This window comes from Homo sapiens, chromosome 8, assembly GCF_000001405.40.
Source record: "Homo sapiens chromosome 8, GRCh38.p14 Primary Assembly".
Lineage (NCBI taxonomy): Eukaryota > Metazoa > Chordata > Mammalia > Primates > Hominidae > Homo > Homo sapiens.
Window position 1 is genome coordinate 47,609,639 of NC_000008.11, and position 19,540 is coordinate 47,629,178.

The window sequence follows — 19,540 nt, forward strand, 5'->3', positions numbered from 1 at the left end:
TGATCTAGTGTTTGGTTACAGCTATCTGATTGAAAAAGTAATAGTTTCAGAGTAGAGTTAGAGGTGTAAATAATATGAAAGTAATATGTACACGCTCTTTAAACACTTGATAATACCAACCTGTATCATTTGACCCATGTTATCATTTATAGCTATACACATTGAATAACTTTCTTGGTGAACTTACGGATAATATGAAAACTGCTGTGAAAGTTTTCATGCTCTTTTTTCCTATATATTAAACCAGTGATAGACTTAAAGGGAAAAGTGAAATGGAATGGCAACAGCCTGGGGATGTGAGTACAGACAATTATGAAGTTTTGGTAATAGAATGAAAACAGCAAGAGTAATTTTCCAGATTATGCTATGTGTAACCACCATTCTAAGTTTGCGTCTTAACCTGGCCATGGTGATTTTCCAGCACCTGTCATCCATGAAGATCAAGAAGGATTTCAAGGTGGCCCTATATAAAAGCCATGGAATTTTTTCCTCCCTGTTTCTGACCTCCTTTCTCTGGAAACTTTTGTTCCTAAAAGAGACTGGAGACCTGGAACAGTCTCCCTACTCTTCCCACCGTACCCCCACCCCATTCCTGCAGCTGCAATCTGGAGCAGCACTGTGATCACACTAGATCACACTTTCCTGTGAGTCAGACTGCAGCTCTGGAATGTGCTTTGCTGAGATGACGGCACAGAGAAGAGCCATGGGAGACAGAGCACACAGCCTGGCAGAGTCTTCAGGGGTGGCCAGATGCAAGCACACAGTGCCACGTGCCTCTGTGGGCATGAAGCAGAGAAAGGATGAGATCAAGCCTGACCCAACTTGACTTCCTCCTCTAGCTGAGCCACCGCACCTTGCTGCCCCTCTCCTCCCCTTTTGCCTCTGTCAAATGACCTACTCTGCCCTCTCTCCCAGCTGCTGCTAGACCCAGAGCACTTGGTGCAGCCAGCTGGCGGGTTTGGTAGGCTCACCCTTGTTGTGCTGATTTCTTGGCTCCACAGTTCTCAATGGCTTGAGCCAGCTCAGCTCTTTCTCCACAGGGAACTGGAGCAAAAATCCTGTAGAGCAATTCTTGGGTTGGACACCCCCTTCCCACGAGAGAGGATTATACATGAACAGATGCCCTTGTTTCTTCCTCACTTGCTGCTCTGGCACTGGTATTATAAATGGTCTGAATTTTCACATTTATTTGCACAGATACAAAAGACAGTGACAGATGCTTGATTATATAGTGAGACTAACAACCAGGTATTAAACATTGCACTGATACTTGTCATTGCCTTCAAAATAAGCTCTACGTGTTTTCTTTACTTCAGTTGTCTCATTTAACCATAAATAAGTCCTCAGAGGTCAGGGGCTGTGACTCATCTGGTTTTGGTACTGGACCATGAATGCAGTAGACACCCAGCAAGTATGGGTTGATGGGAAACAGCAATGGCTGATTGAGCAGCTGAGAAGGTGGGGTGAGGTTGTGGCTCCCCTTCTCTTCTCAGGATGAACCAGTCCATGGAGTTGTGCTACAAATGTTGTTGTTTGTCTAAGGAGATTGATGAGAATGCCAGTGAGCTAGAAATTGCCAGGAATACTCTGCTTTGGGACAGAGGTGATGTCTAGTCTGTTCCAATCAGATAGAGGATGAGACACTGGGAACCAAGGTCCCTGAAGAATATTCAGTCAGTGTAAACAAACAGGGAACAGCACAAGGAGGGACACTTAGGAAAGTGGCAAGGGAGGAACAAGGGCAGCTCTTGGGTGAAGATGTTTATAAAGAAAATAGAGGCTGGGCCCGGTGTCTCACGCCTGTAATCCCAGCACTTTGGGAGGCCGAGACGGGCAGATCACGAGGTCAGGAGATCGAGACCATCCTGGCTAACACAGTGAAACCCCGTCTCTACTAAAAATACAAAAAATTAGCCAGGCATGGTGGCTGGTGCCTGTAGTCCCAGCTACTTGGGAGGCTGAGGCAGGAGAGTGGCGTCAACCCAGGAGGCGGAGCTTGCAGTGAGCCCAGATCACACCACTGCACTCCAGCCTGGGCAACAGAGCGAGACTCCATCTCAAAAAAAAAAGAAAATAGAGAATTCAGTCGATAATGATGTAAGGGTTTTAAAGCATTTATTACAATTAATATAGAACTGAAAGTTCAAGCAAAAATTAAGCAACCACAGGCAGATGATAGAAGAATTAAAATATGACATTTAACATTGAATGAAATAAAATTACCTGAGAGGAAGGAACTCATCATTTGAATTAAACAAAAAAGGAGAACTGAGCCGTCAAGAGGTAGCTTGTGGGGAGAGACTCCTCAGGCCTCTGGTAGTTGTATGTCAAGGCAACTGTGTGAGGCCTTCCACACGTACCTGGCCTGCCACCTGGTTTCCCATAAGCGCAAGACCACCCTTCCTTTCTTTGGTGTGGAATCTCAGTGCAGGTTGTCTACAGCTCCTAGAGGAGGGAACAAGAGAGGACTAGATTATATTTGCCTGCTATGGAGTGGGAAGAAGAGTGAAATAAATGTCAAAATCTTCTTGATGCCTCCCAATGAAATCAGACTTTTGGAAAACTTCAGAAGTGGCTTATTCAGCTTTGTACCTCGAGTCTTTGCACACAGGTAAGTTAAATAGAACGCTGACTACTCTGGAATCCCACAGACATTGAATGAGGAGAAGCTGAACATCTCTGAGGACCTATCTCCTCAAGAGCTATGGAAAAGTGGGAAACTGCAGTGACAGCAAGGATACCAGGAAATCTTGTCTTTAAAATTTTTGAACGTAATTCTGGCTTGTACTCAGCTCATGGTTGCATCATTCTCTCTTCAGAAAAGGCTAGAACAAGATTTCCTGAAATGATATATGTTCAAGAGCTACCACATATTTGGGAGAAAGTGTCATTCCTAATGGCAGACCATAAAAGCACTATCTGGTAATTTACTTTTATGTTTCAGTTTTGAACTTCTTCCAGGTGCTTCCTAAATATTAATATCTGGTCTCTGTTTTATGTTTGGGTGGAAAGTTGGGGAGAGTATAGCCCAAGGAGCTGAGGAGCAACGATGAAGCCACATACCTGTGAGCACTGTGACTTTTAGGCCTTGTGGCAACTATGACTCATCTGTCACCTCTGCCTGGACAGAGTGTGCTCTGTTAATATTGTGGTAAAAACAACACTAAGTATGCCCATTTACTTATATGCATTTATATGTGTCCGCTTTATACACTACCTGGAAGCTTCCATAAGAAGAGACTGTTTCCAGTCACTGCCGCCACGGAGGAAATGGATGCTATGCGGCAGGCTCCCTGAATGCCTGCTAGAACCATGTGAATTGTATGTGTATGTATGCATTAACTTATATTTATTTGTTTATTTACTGATATAAAATTAACATAAAATTGGCCATTTTAAAGTATGTAATTCAGTGGTAGCACATTCACAATGCTGTACTACCAACTCTATATCATTCCAAAACAGTTCAGTCACACCAAAGGAAATCCTGTACATATTAAGCAGTCCCTCCCCACTAACCCCTTCCCCAGCCCATTGCAACCACCAGTCTGCTTTCTGTTTCTGTGTATTTGTCTATTCTGAATATTTCATACAAATAGAATGATAACAGCATCTGACCTTTTGTGTCTGGCTTCTTAAACTTAGGATAATGTTTTCAAGGCTCATCCATGCTGTAGCATGTACCAGTATTTCATTTCTTTTTATGGCTGAATAATATTCTGTTGTATAGATATATCACATCTTATGCATTTATCAGTTTATGGACATTTGTGTTGTTTTCACTTTTTGGCTATTATGAATAATGTTGCTACGAACATCTGCACAGAAGTTTTTCTGTGGACATCTGTTTTCATTTCTCTTGGTGTAGATATGCTTAGGAGTAAGTTACTGGGTCATATGGTAATTATGTGTTTAACTTTTTGAGGAACCACCCTACTGTTTTCCACAGTGGCTACATCATTTTAAATTTTCACCAGTGGTGCAATTTCTCCACATCCTCGCCAGCACTTGCTATTTTCTTTTTGTAACAATAACCATCCTAATGGGTGTGAAGTGGTATCTCACTGTGGCTTTTATTCACATCTCTCTAATGACTGATGATGAGCTTCTTTTCATGTGCTCATTGTCCATTTGCATATCTACTATGGAGAAATGATTTTTCAAGTCTTTTTTTAAAATTATATTGTATTTTTATTGTTGAGTTGTAAGAGTTTTCTTATTTTATTTTATTTTATTTTAAGTTCCAGGTTACATGTGCAGGATGTGCAGCTTTGTTACATAGGTAAATGTGTGCCATGGTAGTTTGCTGCACCTATCAACCCATCACCTGGGTATTAAGCCCCACATGCATTAGCTATTTATCCTGAGGCTCTCCCTTTCCCCACTCCCTACCCCATACAGGCCCCAGTGTGTGTTGTTCCCTTCCCTGTGTCCATAAGTTCTCATTGTTCAGCTCCCCCTTGTAAGTGAGAACATGTAGCGTTTGGTTTTCTGTTCCTGTGATATTCTGCTGGGGATAACGGCTCCCAGCTCCATATCCACGTCCCTGCAAAGGACATGATCTCGTTCCTTCTTTTTTTTTTTATTTTTTAATTTTTTTAGATGGAGTCTCGCTGTGTTGCCAGGCTGGAGTGCAGTGGTGGCATGATCTCAGCTCACTGCAACCTCTGCCTCCTGGGTTCAAGCAGTTCTCCTGCCTCAGCCTCCCAGGTAGCTGGGACTACAGACGTGCACCACAATGCCTGGCTAATTTTTTTTGTATGTTAGTGGAGACGGGGTTTCACCCTGTTGGCCAGGATGGTCTTGATCTCCTGACCTCATGATCCGCCCACCTCGGCCTCCCAAAGTGCTGGAATTATAGGCGTAAGCCACCACGCCCAGCCGATCTTGTTCCTTTTATGGCTGCATAGTATTCCATGGTGTATATGTACCACATTTGCTTTATCCAGTCTATCATTGGTGGGCATTTGGGTTGATTCTGTCTTTGCTATTGTGAATAATGCTGCAGTGAACATATGCATGCATGTATCTTCATCATAGAATGAAGATACATTATATTCCTTTGGGTGTATACCCAGTAATGAGATTGCTGAGTCAAATGGTATTTCTGGTTCTAGGTCTTTGAGGAATCACCACACTGTCTTCCACAATGGTTAAACTAATTTATATTCCCATCAACAGTGTAACAGTGTTCCTATTTCTCCACAGCCTCACCAGCATCTGTTGTTTCTTGACTTTTTAATAATCACCATCCTGACTGACATGAGATGGTATCTCATTGTGGTTTTGATTTGCATTTCTGTAAGAGTTCTATTTTTATATATTGTAGATATAAGACCCCTATAATATACATGCTTTGCGAAATTTTCCTCCCATCCTGTAGGTTGTCTTTTTACTTTCTTGATAGTGTCCTTTGATACACAGAAGTTTTAATTTTTTTTTTTTTTAAAGAGACAGGGTCTTGCTCTGTCACCCAGGCTGGAGTGCAGTGGTGGGATTATAGCTCACTGCAGCCTCAAACTCTTGGACTCAGGCGAGCTTCTCAAAGTGCTGGGATTGTAAGGGTGAGTCACTATGCCCAGCCAAGTTTTATGTTTGATGACACTCAAATTGTCTATTTTTTCTTTTGTTGCTTGTGCTTTTGGTATCTTTTCTAAGAACTGTTATCAAATCCAAGGTCATGAAGATTTACTCCTGTGTTTTTGTTCAAGAATGTTACAGTTTTAGCCTGTGTATGCATTTAGGTATTGGGGACATTTTAAATTAATTTGGCTAGCTCATTGCAATTCCCCCTTAATCTTAGGATTGACATTTCTATTTCTGCGAAAATAGCCTTTTTTTTTTTTTTTTTTCGGCCAGAGTCTCACTCTGTCGCACAGGCTGGAATACAGTGGCACTATCTTGGCTCACTGCAACCTCCGCCTCTCGGGTTCCAGCAATTCTCCTGCCTCAGTCTCCCAAGTAGCTGGGAATACAGGTGCACACACTGTAATGGACATCTCCACTAAACCCCAGGCACTCCACCATGCCCGGCTAATTCTTGTATTTTTAGTGGAAAAGGAGTTTCGCCGTATTGGCCAGGCTGGTGAGCCTTATCAAAAACCATTGGTTTTTGATAAGGATTGCATTGAATCACTATATGGCAGTAGCTTAATAATATTCAGTTTTTCAGTTCATGAAGACAAGATGCCTTTCCATTTATTTAGGTCTTCTTTAATTTCTTTCAGAAATGTTTTGGAGTTTTCATTGTACAAGTCTTATATTTCCTTATTTACATTTCTATTTTATTATTTTGATGTTATTATAAACCAGTTTGTTTCTTAATTTTCTTTTCAGATTGTTCATTGCTAGTGTATAAAAAAAACAACTTATTTTTGTTTGTTGATCTTGTATCCTGCAACTTTGCTGAAGTTTTTAGCTGTAACAGATTTTTGTGGATTTTTAAAAAATTTTCTACATAAAAGATTGTCATCGCGAGTAAAGACAGTTTTACTTCTTCCTTTCCAATTTGTTTTTTATTTATTTCTTTTTCTTAATTGCTGTAGGTAGAATTTCCAGTACAGCGTTGAATGGAAGTAGCAAAAGCAGGAATCATTGTTTTGTTCCTGATCTTGGGGAGAGCTCTCATTCTTTCACCATTGAGTGTGTTAGCTGTGGAGTTTTCATCAATGCCCTATGCCAGGTTGAGGAAGTTCCTTCTTTTCCTGCTTTGTTGAGTCTTTTTTGTCCTGAAAGAATCTTGGATTTTGTCAAGTGCTTTTTCTGCACAGTATAATCACACTTTTTAAATTTTATATACTATATAGTTAGGAATCAGAGAAGTGTGTTACCTACAGTGATTCTTAGTAGAGAAGGTGTTTATAACCAAATTACTGAAATAATTGCTTTGAGTCATCAGGATATAGAACCAGTTCAATTCTACTGGATCCTTCTTTGCAGTGATATTCTCTATAGTGGGAATTTACAAATATGTACGTATCATTACTTTTTTATTTAATTACTTTTAACATGCTTCTCATTTTAAAATAGTTTTAGCTGTATAGAAAAGTTTGCGAAGATAATACAGAGCATTCCCAAATACAGAGTGTTCCCACGTACTCCATACCCAGTTTCCCCTGTTGTTACATCTTACATTATTATGACACATACATAACAATTAATTAAGCAGTATTGTCACAATATTATTCACTGAAGTTCATACTTTATTTAAATCTCCTTAGATTTTCCCTGATGTCCATTTTCTGTTGCAGCACCCCATTCGTGATAGCACATTACATCTCATTGTCATGTCTCCTTAGGCTCCTGTAGACTTTCTTAAATGCTTTTTGCTTTTTATTACCAGGACAATTTTGAGGATTACTGGACAGATATTTTGTAGAGGATCCCTTATTTTGTGTTTTTTTTATATATATTTAGACAGGTATGGATTTGGGAGAAAAAGATTGCCTACATAAAATTCCATTTTCATTACATCCTATCAAAGGTACATACTATCAACATGATGTATCTCTGCTGGCATTAATCATAGTTGCTGGCTCAGGTAGCAATCATGATTTGTCTGGTGTCTATGAAGTTACTTTTTAAGAAAATTAAGCTATTTTTAAACTCCCATTTTATAATGCCTGGGAGGTGAAGCTGGAGCATGCACTGTTACCTCCATTGGTACCTAAGATAGTCTGAAGCAAGAGCATTTGTGACATAGACAACAACATCAGAGAAGGCGTGGCATACAAGCTAAATTTCTGAGTAGTCTTTGAAGTCAACTGTTATTCATGTTTGTTTCAGGATTAATGGTATAGGATTGGGGGCACTTCTAAGACCTTAAACATAATTTTGCAGTGGATAAATATATCAGATTGTATCCATTCATCAGTTTATGGACATTAGGGCCATCAAAAGATGCAGCATCACCCTTCAGTGCTGTCAAATGGAAATAATAAGGCCTGTTGTAAGTTGCCTTTTGTTGCAAGTGTTAAATAGGATAATATATAAGAGATGTTGTTCCATTAATAGACCTTTGTCAAGTGCCTACTGTGTCACATCATCCTGCAGTGCAAACAGTGGCATGTACAAAAGAGAGAAAAAACAGCTCCTGTCCTAAAATATCTGTATGAATAAAAGCCACCTCCATAATAAGTTTTGTCCTGGATGATATGAGCTAATGTTTCCAAAATACTGACCTTAGATTACTTTATGCCATTTTGGGAGTGGGAAGTACTAACTTAAAATGAATATTGCTTCTCTGAGCCACATTGTTGGTGTTCAGCTGCTGCTCAGTTCTTGGGGTGCGCCAGAGACAAGCCCCAGTCTTCAGGGCAGTGACAATCATGTCATCAAGACTTGCCACAGCTTTGGGTACGCTATGTTCTAATAGATTTCCTTTAGGCCAAAAGATATCTTTAATGCCAGTAAGTGCACTGCAGAGGTTTAATGTATTGGGCAAGGATCTCTAAAGTCAGGAGACCAATGCAGAGTTAACACGCTTTTGTGTACGTGGTTTGTGTTTGAATCAGAATTCCTCTCGTGTCATTTTCTAGTTGGTTTGGCTGGATTTTTTTTTTAAGTAATATAATCTCATTCCTTTATCTTCTGCAAAAGAGATCCATCTATCGGTGTAAAGGCTTTTCCTGTCATCCTCTTCATTCTATACAGTCCGGCTATCATTATTCAGTCTTGAAGGAAAACCAAACTGAGTTTATTAAAATCTGATATGAATTAAAAAAAATTTTTCCCTTTAAGGTGCATACATTAACTCAAACTGTAATATAATATTACCAAGGGTGATAGATAGGTTGCACAGTAAACATTCTATAAATTTTAGCAGGAATTAATTTTTTTATTCAGCTATAGATTTTAATAATTTTATTTTCTAAATATAAATTTTGAAAACATGTCAGTGCATATTATACACGAAGGAGATAAACAATTGTGTTATTTTCTCAGAATTACCTGGCAAGTAATTTATTACTATATACAAGGCCTTAGTTTTAAAAACCCGCATATAATTGTTTTATATAATTAAAATAGTTTGTGTGTGTGTGTACTTTGAGGTAAGAACAGCTGAGCAACCAACTTTTAAAGTAATCGTTTTTTAGTTCCATTGGTCTTTTTAGCTTTATTTATGAGAACTTACAACTTAGTTTAGGAACAATATCAATGTCAAAAATGGGATACTATGCTGTCATCTAAAATTAAGGAATGTGAACAGTCTGTGTTAATATGGAATGATCACAAGGATTATTATAATAAATGAACAAGGTCCAAAACAAGCACAAAAGTGTGTTACCATTTGGTTAAAACAAAGTGCCATAGGCACTAATGTTCTTTCTATGCATGAAATATCTTTGGAAGATACACAAGAAGCTGGCAACTTTAATTGCCCCATGGGAGAATGAGGCAGTTAGGAATAGAAGGGAGAAGTTTGAATTTTGAACTATGTGAATGGGTTACCTGTGTTAAAAATTAGCCTTTTGTAATGAATAATCTAAAACAGAGTCCTGGCCAGCTTTAAGATTTGTTAATGATTAAGTTGGTTTTAGTCATGGAGTTGATCTTGTGTGCTCTGAGATATAATTCTACACAATGAATCTCTGCATATGTCTTTTTAGGTGGTAGGATTATTCAGCTTTAAATAATTTAGATGTTTGGGGTCTTGGTTTAAATGTCTTTTTGGTGTTAACAGAATCATGGAATCTTAAGAGTTCAATTGGCCCTTAAATACTAGTTACAAATTATTGATTTACTACTTCGTCTCAGCTGCACATTTGAGCACCTCCCATGGTGGCACATTGCTCTACTGCAGCCCCTGTGCAGCTCCCTTTCCTAGAAGGCTCTCTCCTATCTTGAGCTTGAACCTCTCTCCCTGGATCTTCTGCCCCTTGGAACTGACGCTTCCTCTCAGGGTCATGTAGGGTCACATAGGATCAGTCTGTTTGCTTTTTCTACATGATACTCTGAATATGCATATATGTATATTACCCTTTTTTTTTTTTTTAAGGGATGGGGTCTCACTCTGTTGCCTAGGCCCAGTCATGGCTCACTGCAGCCTCATCAACCTCCTGGGCTCAAGTGATTTTCCTGCTTCAGCCTCTTGAGTAGCTGGAACCACAAGTGCTAAGTCTTTATAGTGCTGAGCTTCACATTCTTTTCTCCTCTGGCTCTTTAATGTCTTTAAGAGCAACTCTATTAATATTAGTTACAAAATAATTTTAGCCACCTGCTCAGCACATGTATTCTATTTCCCCCACCGTGCTGCCTTTAAGGTGGTGTAGTTAAATGAAAAAAGGAATAAGGAGGAAAGGAAGGAAGAGAAGAAAGTTTATGCTAAAGATTGACCAGAGAATTCTATATCATGTCTGTGCTGAAGGAGCCCACTATCTTTTCAGGAAGATAGAGAGGATGTATTCATACACATGCATGTGTTCTATTCTAATAGAATGCAAGCTATTAATAGAAAGCGTACTAGCAGGATACAGATCAGAGAATTACAGCAGCTGCCAGGAGTAGTCAAGGAAGACATTTTGAAAGACAAAGTTCAGCCAGGTTTTGAGAAGGACAAGTTAGATCTCTCTGTGATGGTAACATGGGATCATTTGGTTTTGTTTTGATTATGAGATGAAACTCACCATTTAAACCTTTTTTTTTTTTTTTTTTTGAGACGGAGTCTCACTCTGTCACCGAGGCTGGAGTGCAGTGGCGTGATCTTGGCTCACTGCAACCTCTGCATCCCGGGTTCAAGCAGTTTTCCTGCCTCACCCTTCCAAGTAACTGGGATTACAGGCACCACACCTGGCTAATTTTTTTATTTTTAGTAGAGACGGGTTTTCGCCATGTTGGCCAGGCTGGTCTCGAACTCCTGACCCCAGGTGATCCACCCGCCTCAGCCTCCCAAAGTGCTGGGATTACAGGGATGAGCCACCGCACCCGGCCCATTTAAACCATTTTAAAGGGTATACACAATTCATCGGTTTTGTTTTTTTGTTTCTTTGGGGTTTTTTTGAGACAGAATCTCTCTCTGTCATCAGGCTGGAGTGCAGTGGCGTGATCTCGGCTAACTGCAATCTCCACCTCCCGGGTTCAAACGAGTTCCCTGCCTCAGCCTCCCGTGTAGCTGGGACTACAGGCACACATCACCACGCCCGGCTAATTTTTTGTATTTTAGTAGAGACGGGGTTTCACCATGTTGGCCAGGATGGTCTCAATCTCCTGACCCCAGGCGATCCACCCACCTCGGCCTCCCAAAGTGCTGTGATTACAGGCATTAGCTAGCATGCCTGGCCCATTTAAACCATTTTAAAGGGTATACAATTCTCACTGGGTTTTTGTTTTTGTTTTTTTGAGATGGAGTCTCACTCTGTCACCAGGCTGGAGTGCAGTGGCACAATCTCAGCTCACTGCAGTCTCCGCCTCCTGGGTTCAAGCAAGTCCCCAGCCTCAGCCTCCCAAGTAGCTGGGACTACAGGTGCACACCACCATGCCCAGCTAATTTTTTGTATTTTAGTAGAGACGGGGTTTCACCATGTTGGCCAGGATGGTCTCGATCTCCTGACCTTGTGATCCGCCCACCTTGGCCTCCCAAAGTGCTGGGATTACAGGCGTGAGCCACCACGCCCGGCCAATTCATATGGGTTTTAGTGTGTTCACAATGTTATTGTGACCATCACCACTATCTAATTCCAAATGTCTGGATCATTCCATTTTTTAATAATTCCTTACATGAATCATCTTGAAAGTGAAGCCCAAATGAATCATCTGGGCATGTCATGTAGTCTCACCCTGCCTTGGCTGCCTCGTCTGTAGATTGTAGATTTGGGTTATGTGATCTCTTCATCCTCTCATCTCTGTTCTCGCTTCTGTCTTATTGTGCGCGCCTCTCTCTTGATGACCTGAGCGTCTTTGAAGGAAGGGGCTCTGCCCTTTCTTGCCTGTGTGTGCACATATCCATTTGGCCCAGGCCTCTCAGTGCCGTCTGGCACAGAGCTGTGTGAATACAGGGCCCCCATAAATGTTTATTAGAGAAATCAAAGGTGTGCTCAGTTCTAAGTTGAGTGCCTAGACTACAGTCAGATTTTCAAACTTTAAAAGTTCAAGTATGGGAGGCCAAGGCAGGCAGATCACCTGAGGTCAGGAGTTCAATACCAGTCTGGCCAACATGGTGAAACCCTGTCTCTACAAAAATTAGCCAGGCATGATGGTGGGTGCCTGTAGTCCCAGCTACTCAGGAGGCTGAGGCGGGAGAATTGCTTGAACCCGGGAGGCGGAGGTTGCAGTGACTGGAGATCGTGCCATTGCACTCCAGCCTAGGCGACAGAGTGAGATGGAGGGAAGTCATTGCAAGATAAGACTGGAAAGGTAGATTGAGATCATGTTGCAGAGGGCTTGAGAATTATCTTATGGGCAAACTGCTGAGGCATTTGATATGATCCAAGTAGTGTCTTAGTGGCAGGCAGGAAGCAGAGTTCAGAGCTTGAATGTCCAGGGCGAGGTGCTCAGCCCTGTCAGCCCTGCAGGGAGGCCCAGCAGAGGAATGGATGCAAGAGAAGGGCTTCTTGAGTGATGAAAAAATCTGGATTCAGCAATGGTTAGGATTTGAGGAGTAAGGAAAACAAAAAGGTCTAAAGATGGCTTTGAAGTTTTCAACCTTGATAACTTGGAAAATAATAGGCCTGGGGAGAGGGCAGGAGAAGGTTTAGACTTGAAGTCAGAGACCCACCGCTTGGAGCAGCTGTACAGCCTGTGACGTTCCCTAAGCTTCTGGCCTCCTGGCCACAGGAGGCATAGTCCTCCAAGGGCTGATTAGAGGTAAGACTCGGCCTGAGTCAGGCCTATACTCAGGCACTGCTGACCTGACGCGGGTCTCCTTTGGTGCTCTGCCTCACCTGCTGCAGCCTCACAGCCAGCTAGGGGGTGCACAGAAGGTGGAGTTAATGACAGGATGTCATGGGAAGTAGGGGCTGGCGTCCCAGGAGGATGGGGGTGACTCGAGAGTTAGCATCTGTACTACAGATTAATGTCCCAGGCACAGCATCGGCCCTGCATGGATGAGGCGAAAACCCTTTCATCCACCAGGATAACTAATTGAATCACACTTTGAGCCTCTTCAAGAAAATGAAAAAATGTCAGGTCAACTCCCTAAATTTTCAGTTGACGTTGCAAGTAACCTCATACATTAAAAGGCTAGGTTAGGTCAAGCCCATAATATGAAATTATCCAGGCACCCTCTTTGGTTTATTCTTGGCCATGTTCACTTAGCCACATCTAGAATGAGATGGAGTAGAAAAACACTTGTGAGTGCCAGGACACCCATGTTCTTTTTGCCACTAAGCAGCGTGGCCCACAGCAGTCTCAGTATCCGCTACGCCCTAGTCTGTCCATCTGTGAGATGAAGATGAGAGAAATTGCCACAGGACCTTGTAGTGCACTAACAGCTTGGAGTTTTTTAGCCATGTAAAGAATTAAAATGAGGATCATCTCTTTATCATAAGATTGCCTCCTCTTGTAAAGTAAGTCACTGAATAAGAAATGATTTACCACAGACAAGCAAATGCTGAGAGATTTTGTCACCACCAGGCCTGCCCTAAAAGAGTTCCTGAAGGAAGCACTAAACATGGAAAGGAACATCTGGTACCAGCCACTGCAAAAACATGCCAAATTGTAAAGACCATCGAGGCTAGGAAGAAACTGCATCAACTAACAAGCAAAATAGCCAGCTGACATCATAATGAAAGGATCAAATTCACACATAACGATATTAACTTTGAATGTAAATGGGCTAAATGCTCCAATTAAAAGACACAGACTGGCAAATTGGATAAAGAGTCAAGACCCATCAGTGTGCTGAGACTGAGGAAACCCATCTCACGTGCAGAGACACATATAGGCCCAAAATGAAGGGATGGAGGAAGATCTACCAAGCAAATGGAAAACAGAAAAAGGCAGGGGTTGCAATCCTAGTCTCTGATAAAACAGACTTTAAACCAACAAAGATCAAAAGAGACAAAGAAGGCCATTACATAATGGTAAAGGGATCAATTAAACAAGAAGAACTAACTATCTGAAATATATATGCACCCAATACAGGAGCACCCAGATTCATAAAGCAAGTCCTGAGTGACTTACAGAGACTTAGACTCCCACACAATAATAATGGGAGACTTTAACACCCCACTGTCAACATTAGACAGATCAACGAGACAGAAAGTTAACAAGGATATTCAGGAATTGAACTCAGCTCTGCACCAAGTGGAACTAATAGACATCTACAGAACTGTCCATCCCAAATCAACAGAATATACATTCTTTTCAGCACCACAACACACCTATTCCAAAATTGACCACATAGTTGGAAGTAAAGCACTCCTCAGCAAATGTAAAAGAACAGAAATTATAACAAACTGTCTCTCAGACCACAGTGCAATCAAACTAGAACTCAGGATTAAGAAAGTCACTCAAAACTGCTCAACTACATGGAAACTGAACAACCTGCTCCTGAATGACTACTGGGTACATAACGAAATGAAGGCAGAAATAAAGATGTTCTTTGAAACCAATGAGAACAAAGACACAACATACCAGAATCTCTGGGACACATTCAAAGCAGTGTGTAGAGGGAAATTGATAGCACTAAATGCCCACAACACAAAGCAGGAAAGATCTAAAATTGACACCCTAACATCACAATTAAAAGAACTAGAAAAGCAAGAGCAAACACATTCAAAAGCTAGCAGAAGGCAAGAAATAACTAAGATCAGAGCAGAACTGAAGAAGACAGAGACACAAAAAACCCTTCAAAAAATTAATGAATCCAGGACCTGGTTTTTTGAAAAGATCAACAAAATTGATAGACCACTAGCAAGACTAATAAAGAAGAAAAGAGAGAAGAATCAAAGAGACGCAATAAAAAATGATAAAGGGGATATCACCACCGATCCCACAGAAATACAAACTACCATCAGAGAATACTATAAACACCTCTACGCAAATAAACTAGAAAATCTAGAAGAAATGGATACATTCCTCGACACATACATCCTCCCAAGACTAAACCAGGAAGAAGTTGAATCTCTGAATAGACCAATAACAGGCTCTGAAATTGAGGCAATAATCAATACCTTACCAACCAAAAAAAGTCCAGGACCATATGGATTCAAAGCCGAATTCTACCAGAGGTACAAGGAGGAGCTGGTACCATTCCTTCTGAAACTATTCCAATCAATAGAAAAAGAGGGAATCCTCCCTAACTCATTTTATGAGGCCGGCATCATCCTGATACCAAAGCCTGGCAGAGACACAACCAAAAAAGAGAATTTTAGACCAATGTCCTTGATGAACATTGATGCAAAAATCCTCAATAAAATACTGGCAAATCGAATCCAGCAGCACCTCAAAAAGCTTATCCACCATGATCAAGTGGGCTTCATCCCTGGGATGCAAGGCTGGTTCAACATACACAAATCAATAAATGTAATCCAGCATATAAACAGAACCAAAGACAAAAACTACATGATTATCTCAATAGAGGCACAAAAGGCCTTTGACAAAATTCAACAACCTTCATGCTAAAAACTCTCAATAAATTAGGTATTGATGAGACGTACCTCAAAATAATAAGAGCTATCTATGGCAAACCCACAGCCAATATCATACTGAATGGGCAAAAACTGGAAGCATTTCCTTTGAAAACTGGCACAAGACAGGGATGCCCTCTCTCACCACTCCTATTCAACATAGTGTTGGAAGTTCTGGCCAGGGCAGTCAGGCAGGAGAAGGAAATAAAGGGTATTCAGTTAGGAAAAGAGGAAGTCAAATTGTCCCTGTTTACAGATGACATGATTGCATATCTAGAAAACCCCATTGTTTCAGCCCAAAATCTCCTTAAGCTGATAAGCAACTTCAGCAAAGTCTCAGGATACAAAATCAATGTGCAAAAATCACAAGCATTCTTATACACCAATAACAGGCAAACAGAGAGCCAAATCATGAGTGAACTCCCATTCACAATTGCTTCAAAGAGAATAAAATACCTAGGAATCCAACTTACAAGGGACGTGAAGGACCTCTTCAAGGAGAACTACAAACCACTGCTCAATGAAATAAAAGAGGATACAAACAAATGGAAGAACATTCCATGCTCATGGGTAGGAAGAATCAATATCATGAAAATGGCCATACTGCCCAAGGTAATTTATAGATTCAGTGCCATCCCCATCAAGCTACCAGTGACTTTCTTCACAGAATTGGAAAAAACTACTTGAAAGTTCATATGGAACCAAAAAAGAGCCCGCATTGCCAAGTCAGTCCTAAGCCAAAAGAACAAAGCTGGAGGTATCACACTACCTGACTTCAAACTATACTACAAGGCTACAGTAACCAAAACAGCATGGTACTGGTACCAAAACAGAGATATAGACCAATGGAACAGAACAGAGCCCTCAGAAATAATGCCGCATATCTACAACTATCTGATCTTTGACAAACCTGAGAAAAACAAGCAATGGGGAAAGGATTCCCTATTTAATAAATGGTGCTGGGAAAACTGGCTAGCCATATGTAGAAAGCTGAAACTGGATACCTTCCTTACACCTTATACACAAATTAATTCAAGATGGATTAAAGACTTACATGTTAGACCTAAAACCATAAAAACCCTAGAAGAAAACCTAGGCAATACCATTCAGGAGATAGGCATGGGCAAGGACTCCATGACTAAAACACCCAAAGCAATGGCAACAAAAGCCAAAATTAACAAATGGGATCTAATTAAACTAAAGAGCTTCTGCACAGCAAAAGAAACTACCATCAGAGTGAACAGGCAACCTACAGAACGGGAGGAAATTTTCACAACCTACTCATCTGACAAAGGGCTAATATCCAGAATCTACAATGAACTCAAACAAATTTACAAGAAAAAAACAAACAACCCCATCAACAAATGGGCGAAGGATATGAACAGACACTCTCAAAAGAAGACATTTATGCAGCCAGAAAACACATGAAAAAATGCTCATCGTCACTGGCCATCAGAGAAATGCAAATCAAAACCACAATGAGATACCATCTCATGCCAGTTAGAATGGCAATCATTAAAAAGTCAGGAAACAACAGGTGCTGGGGAGGATGTGGAGAAATAGGAACACTTTTACACTGTTGGTGGGACTGTAAACTAGTTCAACCATTGTGGAAGTCAGTGTGGCGATTCCTCAGGGATCTAGAACTAGAAATACCATTTGACCCAGCCATCCCATTACTGGGTATATACCCAAAGGATTATAAATCATGCTGCTATAAAGACACATGCACACGTATGTTTATTGTGGCACTATTCACAATAGCAAAGACCAGGAACCAACCCATATGTCCAACAGCGATAGACTGGATTAAGCAAATGTGGCACATATACACCATGGAATACTATGCAGCCATAAAAAATGATGAGTTCACGTCCTTTGTAGGGACATGGATGAAGGTGGAAACCATCATTCTCAGCAAACTATCACAAGGACAAAAAACCGAACACCGCATGTTCTCACTCATAGGTGGGAATTGAACAATGAGAATACATGGACACAGGAAGGGGAAGATCACACTCTGGGGACTGTTGTGGGGTGGCGGGAGCGGGGAGGGATAGCATTAGGAGATATACCTAATGCTAAATGACAAGTTAATGGGTGCAGCACAGCAACATGGCACATGTATACATATGTAACAAACCTGCACGTTGTGCACATGTACCCTAAAACTTAAAGTATAATAATAATAAAAATTTAAAAAAAAAGAAATGATTTACCGCTAGTAGGAATTTCTGATGTCACAAAAAAAATGTTTCCCTTTACTTAAGAATTTTGAATATTTGATAAGGCATTAATTTATCTGTGATATATATTTTCATACGAAAACCAAAGTACCCTAAGTGTGTGTATGTGTTTAAGAAATTGCTCAGGATACTCTGTCTCTGCTTTTGAAAACTTTCTCTTCCTTCTATGTGTTATAGAACTAAATCCAAACGGGAAATTTGGCTTTGTGCACTGACAGATCATGTGATTCCTCCCCCCTCCCTGGCCCCCAGCACCCCCATCGGTGCTCAGCGAGTCCCCTGCACACTCTGTTCAGTAAACAAGTTTAGAGAACCAGACCCGCCGGTTCATTCACTGAGAGCATTTGGAAAGGGCTGTCTTTGTGCAGCCTTGACGTACTGGCCGGAGTGGAATGGAGAAGTTAGCATTTGTGTTTTCATTAGTTCTTTTTATAGCAGCGGACCAGCTGGAACTGGTTAACATTAGCCTGGGCTGCCTGGTAGTGCACAGGTCTCTTACGCAGGATGAAGGGCTTCTGATGAAAACAGATTTTGTTACTCATGATACCACTGACTGTGTTTACATGAACTCACTCATTCTGTCATGGGATGTGATTTAGAATGGCTTCCTTAAAATGCAGGAACTCCCTAGGTGCTATTCAGATCCATCCTTAAAAACAAACGAGAGACTCAAAAATATAGATGGCTTTCCCTATTAAACTAGCCATCCTTCCACAGAACATGCTTCCTGAGATAATGCTTTTAAAGAAAGCTAAATTTTGGCTACTTGGGATGTTTTCCCCATGGTGTTTTAAAAATTGGTTAGAGAAGGTTGTTTTTCCTCCAGTAACAGCAAGGAATCATCATCTTATGGGGATAGAGAATAATTTAACCAACCATTTCTGACAAAGTTCAACAGAATTGTTCCATGTTTTCATGGGTAGAATTCTGACTAAAGGCAAAAATTAACAATTTTAAGAATCATTAGTTTAGGATACATTAATATAAGTTGAGCATCCCTAAGCCAAAACTTGTTGAGCACCAGCATGAGTGGCTGAAATAGTGACACCTTTTCTTTCTTATGAGTCAGTGTACACAACTTTGTTTCATGTATAAAATAATTTAAAATAAAAATAAAATGCATAAAATTACCTTCAGGCTATCTGTATAAGGAATATATGAAACATAAATGAATGTCATGTTTAGACTTGGGTCCCATCCCCAAGATATCTTATTATGTCTATGCAAATATTTCAAATCTGAAAAAAAACTCCTGTCCCAAGCAATTTGGGTAGGGAATAGTCAACCTGTGTATCATGAATACACATATACTGACTTCTGTCTAACAAAATGGAAATGGGAGATAAAAAACATCGAATGGAGAATGTTTGTTGGTTTTTTGGTGTGGCTTGTTTTGGGATTAAAGTATAAACCAACTTAGCCAATATTCTCAAGTAGCTGAAAATCTGTAGGGCTCAGCTACTTTCTGGATCAGTCTCATTGAAAATGTATCCTCCATTTAAACTTAATTTATTTGCAAAAATGAGTTTAGGGCCTTTGAAAAGTGCTAAATGATTAAGTTGTAAAAATATAAGGACTGAGATTCTCCCTTTAAGGGTCACAGCAGCTGTTTGAAGAGATGCAGGCATCTCTCACAGTTTAGCTAGATGACTTAAGGAAAAGTTTCGTTTGATTCTTCCTGATGCTGTCTTTTCCCCTAGAATAGGGTAGACAGTATTAGGAGTTTAG

General features: G+C 40.6%; 1 protein-coding gene across 57 annotated transcripts in view, besides 1 other annotated feature; it reads left to right on the plus strand.

Annotated features, from left to right (window-relative positions):
* Positions 1-19,540, plus strand: part of SPIDR (scaffold protein involved in DNA repair) — a 475,429-nt gene that overhangs the window by 348,761 nt on the left and 107,128 nt on the right. The gene's annotated exons all lie outside the window — the stretch shown is intronic.
* Positions 843-912: a silencer, noted in NCBI's record as "silent region_19171". NCBI's record gives its function as "represses an Ori minimal core promoter by ATAC-STARR-seq in GM12878 lymphoblastoid cells {active_cell/tissue: GM12878}" and the evidence as "EXISTENCE:reporter gene assay evidence [ECO:0000049][PMID:35858748]".